A 9,899-nucleotide genomic window follows, 5' to 3' on the forward strand; every position below is an offset into this window, starting at 1 on the left:
TCCAGTTTAGGAGATCAGTGGTTGAAAAAGGCTGGTAGATGAAGGTCCATTGCCCCCCTTGGATATGGCCATATTAATCATAATAGAGGGGCCCCAAGTTTCCCAGAGAGGCATCTGCAAAGCCCAGGTGCGGCCAGACTGGAGGCAGCTTGCTTGATCAGCCTGAATTTCCTCCTTGACCTCCTGGGGCAGTGGTTCTGATTTTTCCTTTTCGGGTGAAGCCTGGGGCTCATCATTATCTGAACCTGACTCCTAAGGGGCCAGCCTTGGTAAAGTGGGGTAGATTGGGGTATAGGGAGGAGGGATTTCTATTTCCTCCAGTGGTTCCTGCAAAACCAGTTTTTCCTGTCTTTCCTGTGGCTTTCCCTTTGTCCCCGTAGCTTCTGGTGAAGCTGATTTTTCTTTCATTTTAGGTTTGGCTCAAGCCACAAGCATTTTGTAACTAGCCGCCAGGCAGGGCTGTAGTCATGCAGGTCAGGTTTGGACTATATTCAGCCATGTATTAATATAAGGAAATTGGTCTGGATGCCCTGGCTGTCCTCTGACCCCAGTCACCACCCAATGTATACAGCCAATTGTTCCCCCATCTATTGTTCCTTCGGCTGGCCATCTGACATGAAAAGAGGGCCATTCTATTTCACAAAGGGTTCTTAACTTCTTGGGGGTCAACATGATCCCATAATCCCCTGTATAACCTTTCTTAAAGTTCTTTAACATACATTCTAATGGGGTGAGTTTTGACGGCTTCCCTCCCATTTCCTCCCGGTTATGGTGCAACTCACTCTCTTTTGCTTTCACTTCAGACCAATTAGACCACCTCCCTCATGGGAGTATTTCAGATGCCATTTAGCATTGGAGGGTTTGTATAAACCCCAAACCTGGACCCCACAATCACTAAATTGTGGGGAGCCTCCATAAGCTGTATGCAGTTCACCACTAGTCCCAGTCAGTCCCACACTTGCTCGGGACATATGGTCTCACACTAGGAGACTTGCAGTCCCACATGCTCCACTCCACTCATTCACACGCATTCACACACTCTCCCACTCCCAGTTCTTCTTCTCAGGTTGGGGTGTAGGTTTCAACCAACTTAGCGAGCCACTCTCATGTCCTGGGTTGGACTACTAGGTACATCCCGGGAGTTGATCAGACTCCCCTTCCATCCTTATGGGACAGGTCCTGCCTCGAGCCCCAAACCTTACTGCAGTCCTGTAGCATGCTGTTCCTGGAATCATCCAGTAGCCCCTTAGGTTCTGTTGCACTGACGGGGAGGGGCACTGGGTCACAGGAGAGCCCATCTCTCACCTGGGTTTAAGTTCCCCCCTTGGCACACCTGAGGTCATGTGTCTCCCCCTGGCTTGGGTCCCCAGACCCACAGGCAAAGGAGACAGAAAACCTGTCATCTCCAATCCTGGATGAGCCCCCAGAAATGTTACATGAATCAAGGGACAGGAGAGACCAATGGGTGGGACAGGAGGATTTTATTAGGAGCGCACCGGCCCAGGAGATTAACATCCGAAGGCTGAGCCCGAACAAAGACAGGGCTTGACTTTTATACATGCATCTGAAGGGAGGTTGGCCGGTTTGATGGCACAAAACCTGTAGTGTGGGCAAACAAGCTTTCAGAAGCAGAACAAAGGCAGTTGTTGAACAGTGACAGGTTTTGTAACTCAAGCATATCTTGTGACCTTACAATGCTGCACAGAAGGGGAAAAACAGGAACTTACAAAACTTGCAAAAATAATTATAAGAACAGAACAAGGAACAATGGTAAGGGAGAAGAATCTGAAGGGGGAGGCCGAAAAAGAAAAACTTGTGTTTTGTTTTTTTGTATCTTCTGCTTCATTTGTGCAGCTGCTATCACTTCTTATTGCTCATAGAGAAATACATCACACTGGGTATTACAGAGATTCAGTTGTAGGGGATTAACAAAGAGACTGCTTAGTTAAAGTGAGTAGATTCTTTATCTAGCTTATTCTTTGACCTATTTGATTTTAGTTGGTTTGGTTCATGGGGACCCTGGCTAAGGAGGATACTCCAAACTCTTGGTAATATCCTTCTGATAGTTATAATAGTTATAATAGTAGTCTGTCTGGTGTGCTGTATTCTCTCAACAGTTTTAAATGTTTGCATGCAGCCATCTCTAGAATGTCATTCCACTGTCTTCAAGTTGAATGGCAAGAGCTGAAAAAATGTGTGACCATAAGGGCACTGTAACCTATGAATTATGTGCTGAGACCAGAAACCCAAAATCATGGTAACTGAGAGTAGTGCTAAGGCCCTAATTTTCAGTCACACTCTTACCTAAGTGAGAACCTGACCAAAACGAGAGAATTTTTAAACAAAATTGTGGAAAGGCCATTGTTTTGGACTGAGCTTATGCACTAGGCTGCAACAGACCAGACCAAACCAAAATGGAGTCTCTCATACTAAATGTGACATAACCAAACTAAAACTTTAAGGAAACACATCGATCCTAGAACAGATTAGCTTTTGTTTTTTCCTCTGTATATAGCACATTCCAGCATAAGGAGATACCCTCTACTCTAAACCTTACAACAACAACAACAACAACAACAAAAAAAAAAACAAAAAAAACCCTAAAGTTCTTATTCCCACCTTACAAACCCCACTGTTCGGCTATTTCCCAGTGGGTCTCAAAACCAAGTAAGTACAGACAATGGTAATAGTGACATCAATGACTAAAGTTTTGGCCAATCTGTCAAAATTGAGAGGATGACCCAAAGTAGGAAATTGTTCAATCAAGTTTAGCTGATAGCTGCCTCCTTACATATTTTAAGTTCAGCCTAAATGTTCCTCTCTACACCATGAACTATAACCCAAATAGAGTTGTATACAGACTGTAGTGTCAATGAAAAGAGCCAAACTCTGTAAAATATTTGAAGAGATTTATTCTGAGCCAAATATGAGTGACCATGGCCCATGATACAGCCCTCAGGAGGTCCTGAGAACATGTGCCCAAGATGGTCGGGGTGCTGCTTGGTTTTATACATGTTAGGGAGGCATGAGACATCAATCAAATACATTTAAGAAATACATTGCTTTGGTCCAGAAAGGTGGGACAACTCTAAGGTTGGGGGGCGGCTTCCAGGCTATAGGTAAATTTAAACATTTTCTGGTTGACAATTGGTTGATTTTGTGTAAGACCTGGGATTGATAGAAAGGAAATGTTCAGGTTAAGATAAAATATTTTGGAGAACAAGGTCCCTTTGAAATCTTATAGTGGCTTCCCTTAGAGACAATAGATGACAAATGTTTCCTATTCAAATCTTTAAAAGATGCGAGACTTTTAGTTAATCTCTTTAGGATTGGGAGGGCCTGGAAGGAAAAGATCTAGCTATGTTAATAGATTCTCTACAGATGGAGATTTTCCCCCACAAAGGACAGCTTTGAAGGGCCATTTCAAGATATGGCAAAGAAACATGTTTTGGGATAAAATATTTCGATTTTTCTTTTTTTCATTGTCTTGTAATATTACACCAGAGTCAGGATGGAAAGTAAGTCACAGTATAGAGGGTTAAGTAAAACCCATCCAATGAGAAGTTACCGTTTGTAGGGCATGACTCCCCAGACCTTTTAGATAGGAATTTGGGCAAGATGAAAAAATCAGAACTTAGTCCTCAGTAGCCAAATCTTGTGCCAATCACTGAGTTTTGGCCAATCAAAGGTGGCCAAGTGTTCAAACCAGGTCCAAATAAGGCAAACACTGAGCTGTAACCAATCTTGCTGTTTCTGTACCTCATTTCCATTTCCTGTATATCACTTTGCTTTTACTCTCCACAAATCTTCCAACATGTGGCTGCACTGGAGTCTCTGAGCCTACTCTGGCCTGAGAGGCTGCCTGATTTGTGAATCATTCTTTGCTCAATTAAACTCTGTTAAACTTAATTTGGTCAAGATTTTTCTTTTGACACCGGTATTCATGGTGTAAACATTACTTGGAAGCACCGAGTGGTCTGCCTAATCAAAAAAAAACAATAGAAAGTGGAGAGTGCTTTTTTCCCCAGAGAGCTGGGCTGAAGACAGGAGTTAGGAAAAGAGCTGTAGACTACTATTTTCATTATAAGGCTTTCGGTATAACTTGGCTTTCAAAATTACATAAATGTCTGATTTGGGAGACAAATTTTAAGTTTCATCTAAGGAGACAGACCTAAGGAAGATGTGATTAACTTTACATGGAACATGCTCAATGTCTCAGTCTGTTCAGGCTGGCACAACAAAGGATCATAGACTGGGAGGGTTAAGCAAGAAAAGTTTATTTTCTCACAGTTCTGGAGGCTTGAAGCCTGAGATCAGGGTGGCCCACATGGTCTGCTTCTGATGAGGGCTCACTTCCTGGCTTTTCAGGGAGGGAAGGCTGAGACAAGGTACAGGGGCAGGCTGCAGCCTGGGGCGTGTTAGAGGGAGCCCGCAGGAGGGATTTCCTTCAGCACAAACCTAGCCCCTATACCTCCTGGTCTCTGGGGAGGTGGAGAGCTTTGTCTCATTGGGTGTTGGAGCTCTTGCAGGGTGAGTTGGGCAGGTGGAGGTAGCTTGCTCTGCCCAGAGCTGTCCCCAGCTTGCTGGCTGACAGACCTGAACCACACCCTCCAGCTTAGCCTCACTCAGCCATTCATATTTTTCCCTTTATCTGTGACTTCTTTAATTTCTTAATTCTTTTATTTTCCAAATTGTTCCCAACATGAACCAGGAAGAGGGGGTGGCAGTCTAGGCAAAGAAAGGCAGATTTATTAGAGAAAGTATGAAAATACATTCAAAGGTTACAACAGGCAGCACAGCAGAAAAGGGGCTGTCTGCAAAGAGGTGGGGCTGGAGGGAAGTTTTCTAGGGTTGTGCTGGAGGGGATTCCATGCAGGGTTCTTGTGCCTGAGGAAGGAAGCCATTCATTGTGCCCACTGAGGTAGTCACACCCTTGGGTAGTTTGTGATCAGCCGTCTCTTAGAACAGTTGTTCATTGTTCTTTCCCATCTGGGGCCTTCCGGGAAAGGCAAGATGGGGGTGGGTTAGCTCAGATCACTGTCATAATTTTTTCACTGATATAATTTTTGCAAAGGTGGCTTCAAAAATAGTGCAAAATTGTTGGAGCAAAGGCTGTGTGGATTGAGGGTTGGAGAGAGGGCAGCAGGAAATGGTAGGAGGTGGTGGGAGATATTTCCAGCAGAGGTAGGAGCAGGCATGGTGGCACTCTCTGCCACCCTACCAAGGCACCAAGCTTCACTCACTGTGCACCTGGCTGGGTGGGAAGAATAGGTCAGAGGGATGCCACTGAAGACCAGGTGACAGGTGATGAGGTGACACAGAAATGTGGGCAAGGAAGTGAGGACCTTGGCAGAGGACATAGAGGGGAGGGGACACATTTGGATTATAGCTAAAAGGTGGAATCAATACATAAGATTTGGTGACGAGTTGAATGAGAGATTGGCACCGAGGGTGACTCCCGCATTTCTGTTACAGTAATTACATGGAAAATACCTTTTCTTTCTCCAAAATCCTGCAGTTCACCTAGATAACTCAACCCAGCACGGCTGGGGGACTGGGCATCCCAGGACATTACCTTGAGAAAAGGATTTTTAGTGCCCTGATGACCCTCTTTCCTAGCAAGGTGCATATTGCCCACACAACCCGACCTCTCTGGGGATTCCACACAACTTCAATTCTTTTTTTTTTTTTTTTTTTGACAGGGTTTTGCTCTATCACCCAGGCTGGAGTGCAGTGGCATAATCAGGGCTCACTGCAGACTCAATCTCTCAATCTCCTGGGCTCAATCAATCCTCCCATCTTAGCTTCACAAGTAGCCGGGGTTGCAGTTGTGGACCGTGCCTGGCTAATTTTTGTATTTTTTGTAGAGACAGTGTTTCACCATGTTGCCCAGGCTGGTCTTGAACACCTGGGCTTAAGCCATCTTCCCACCTCAGCCTCTCAACATGCTGGGATTACAGGCATTACTGTGCCCAGACCACATCTTCAATTCTGATTGAAGTATCTAATCCTCATTTCTCCAATAGAGAGATTAGAAAAGCAGAATACAATACTTAAAAAAAATCCTTTTTTATTTTGAAAAATATTTTAAACTTACAGAAAAGTTGCAAAAGGTATATAGTAATCTCCCATATACTCTTGACTTAGATTTACTAATTAACATTTTGACACAGCTTTCTCTATCTATATCTAATAATTATTATAATTAGTATTACTGAGCCATATGAATGAAAATTGCATATATTATGCCCCTTTATCCTTAAATGTTTCAGCATAGATCTCCTTAGAACAAGGACATTCTCTTCATAACCATAGTACAATGATCAATTTTAGGAACTTTAACATTAATGCAATATTATTATTTAAGATAAGGTACAGTTTATAGTCAGCTTTCACCAATTGCCCCAATAATGCCCTTTATGGCAACTTTTCCCCAAATTGAAGATCTAATTCAGGATTTTGCATTACACTTAGTTGTCCTGATTCTCTTACCTCATTTAATCTGGAAAATTTACTGAATTATTTTGTCTTTGTCTTTCATAACATTGACAATCTTAAAGAACACAAGCCAAGCATTTGGTAGAATTTCCACAATTTAAATGTGTCTGGTGTTTCTAGATGGTTATATGCAGGTTATGCGGTTTATAACATAAGTCATGTTTTGTCCTCAGCATATCACATCATCGTTAGTGATGTTAATGTTGATCAATTAGTTAGAGTAGTGTCAGCCAAGTTATTCTAATATGAAGTTACTATTTTTCTCTTTGAAATTAATAAGTCATGGCTGGGCATGGTGGCTCACATCTGTAATCCCAGCACTTTGGGAGACTGAGGTGGGTGGATCACCTGAGGTGAGGAGTTCAAGACCAGCCCGGCTAACATGGTGAAACCCCATCTCTACTAAAAATGCAAAAATTAGCCAGGCGTGGTGGCACATGCCTGTAATCCCAGCTACTTGGGACTGAGGCAGGAAGAGCGCTTGAACTCAGGAGGTGCAGATTGAAGTGAGCAGAGACTGCACTACTGCACTCCAGCTTGGGCAACAGAGCAAGACTCTGTCTCAAAAAAAAAAAAGAAAGAAATTAATAAGTCATCTCTAAAGAAATACTTTGAGACTTCCACTGTCTTAGCATCCATTAATAATTCCTGTGTGAATCAATTACTACTACAATGTTGCAAAATGTTGATTATCTAACTCCATTATCTATTCTACTTTTATTAGTTGGCTTTCTATTTTAAAGAAGAGCCTTCCTCTCTTTCTCATTTATTTATTTAGTATAATATGAATCAATGAAATATTATTTTTCCAAGGGTTAGAATTCATCACTATTCTTATTTGTTTTGATAATCAAATTATTACAGATTTGGCCAGTGGGAAGCCCTTCAAGTTGCTTTTTATATTCTTGCAACATCCTCCCATCATTTTATGAGCACTTTCTTACTTTTAAGAACAACCAAATGTTCTTATACTTGCCCTGCCCCACCCTGGAATCAGCCATTTCTCCAAAAAGTCCTGGCTTCTTTTGGCAGCAGTAGTATTTAGAAACCAAGATCTCTGCTGATTGCTACTGGGATGTCACTGCCATTTCAATGGACAGAGCCAGTAGTAACCACTAATCCCAATTCAATACCACATGGTTCTTCTTTGCTTTTTCCTAGTTTATGCTTGTATCTTCTTTCTTTCATGGTGAGAATCCTGAATCCCTCTGCCACTCCTGGCCCACAGTCAAATTATTTACTTTTTTGCTTAGTGCTGCACTAATAAAGCACAACATAATTCCAGAATTGCTACATTCATACCTCTACCAACAACACCTTTACTAAATTGGAGTTGAAGATTTGTTTATAGATCTTTTTGTCTTTAGATTAACATCATTGTGTGTCCTTTCAATGATGTGCTGGGCATTGTCTAGTAGACCCTCTGTCTCTCTAATGACCCAGCAATTTTACACTATAGAAGTTGAAGAAAACAGTAATGGAAATTATTCTTATCCATAGCAACGTAAATGCCGGTGTCCAGTAGAGATATGATAGTTTTCTGCCCAGTAGAAATATGCCAACAAACATGCGTTGTCTTATAGAATATTAACCAGTTTTGCATCCATTGGCAAACTTACTTCAGCATTCCAGATTGCGCGCACACACACACACACACATTTTGTCCTTCACAAACTTAATCTTTGACCTTTAGGCCAGAACAGTAAGACCACGAAGGTGGTTGTGGCATCTGTTTTCCAGGAGACATTTTTCCTTCTTCAGTCTCACCACTGGAAGGTCACAACATTGACTATTCACTGAGTTATTATATAAAGCAACTAATCCTTTGAAAAATATTGTCTTGCTCATTGCTCTGTGAGACCAGCAGAAAATCAACTCTGGGTGATACGCTGATGGTGAAAGGACTAGAATGGGTAACTGTGCCCCCAGAGAAGCAAACTCTCATTTTGCCAATAGGTTCAATCTTCCCACCACTGTCTGTCCAGAGTTGCTAATGAGTGGCAAAATCGACTGCTCTCACCTCTTCTCCCAGCAAGGGCTCGCCTCTAGTGGAAGTGCAAATGAGCCCTAACACTGTCCTCAGCAGGAGGCCCAGGAGGAGAAGTAAGAGTCAGGAATTATCCACTCACTGTCACCGAATATTCCAGAATCAGCTATCAAACTGCAACAACCATCCTTTATCCGGCTTCTCCTGCTTGGTTAGAAGCCTCTACAATCTGCTCTTTGCACCAGGGTCTACACAGGTATCTCATGTGCCAATCCTCACACCTTCAACAAGTTCAGATTCAGAGAGGAGTTCGGTGACTCAGATTTATTTGACCACTGGCCTTTCAGGAAGCAGAGAGCGCTTTCCCCAGGGACTGTCACTCTTCCACCATGTTTCATTGTTTCCCCAGCAGATTGAGTAAAGGCTATTCTAGGAATGCTGAACGCGATGGAAATGCCTAAGATGATGGAAGTGTTGAAAACCTGATCTCAAACTGGAAAGGTTGGAGAGGCTCCTAGAAGAGGTCAAAATTTGAGCTTTGTGCACCTGTGTGTGCATGTTGGAATGTGTGTTGAAGAAAGGCATAGAAGGGTGCACACAGCTGGGACACACTTTACTGCAAGGGGATGAGGTAGGGCTAGAGGTGGGGATGCAACTGATCAAACATTAGCTTCTCTCCAGTAGGATTTATAATAACAAGCATGGATAACTTTTGTATTAAAAAAACACAATAAAGCAAAAGGGGATAAACAATCTAGAGGTTTCTTGTTGAACAATAGTATTTCATATCATGAAAAACACTTCATTTTACAGTGGATATGAATCATTCCCAGGCTTCTGACAGCCTAAACCCACAAGTGTGGGTGGGTTTGCCCTTTGCTAGGTAACAAGAAAGAAAGAATTTCAAAAGAAAATTTGTTATTTCATGGCACCCATCGTCCCAGTTATCTAAGGAGAGAGTGTTAGAGATGGAAAACCCGAACAACTTAGAAAGTGGAGTGGTGTGGTGCATAGTTACAGCTCCTGGTTGGACTGGCCTGTCAGCACAAACACAGAGGCACTGCAAGAACATGGAGTGCAGGGTGCAATAACCCCAGTGGCCATCAATGCAGTTAAGCTGCCGTGGCCTCTGCAGCAATTTCACAGCTGGAAGGCATACCAGTAGTCAGCAACGACTTCAGTTCCATTCATGCTGGAGTCAAAGGGCCAATTCTGAAGCTTCTCCTGCCTGTACCCAGAAGACACAGTCTCCGTGCTATAAATTTAGCTATAAACCAAGCAGAGCTGCCTCAAAAGTCACCTTCTTTGGTCTACTAAAATCTCATAGCCCATCTTACAATCTTTTCTCTTCTATGAGCTTCCTGTAATTCAGCAGGGAGAAAACAATTGTTAGAAAAGTAAGATTCATAACAGA

General features: G+C 42.7%; 1 annotated feature.

The window, feature by feature from the left end:
* Positions 342 to 956: an enhancer, noted in NCBI's record as "NANOG-H3K27ac hESC enhancer chr6:110214364-110214978 (GRCh37/hg19 assembly coordinates)". NCBI's record gives its function as "activates a minimal SCP1, AML or CMV promoter by ChIP-STARR-seq in naive H9 embryonic stem cells {active_cell/tissue: H9 hESC(naive)}" and the evidence as "EXISTENCE:reporter gene assay evidence [ECO:0000049][PMID:30033119]".

This window comes from Homo sapiens, chromosome 6 (assembly GCF_000001405.40).
Source record: "Homo sapiens chromosome 6, GRCh38.p14 Primary Assembly".
In the NCBI taxonomy this organism is placed as follows: Eukaryota; Metazoa; Chordata; class Mammalia; order Primates; family Hominidae; genus Homo; species Homo sapiens.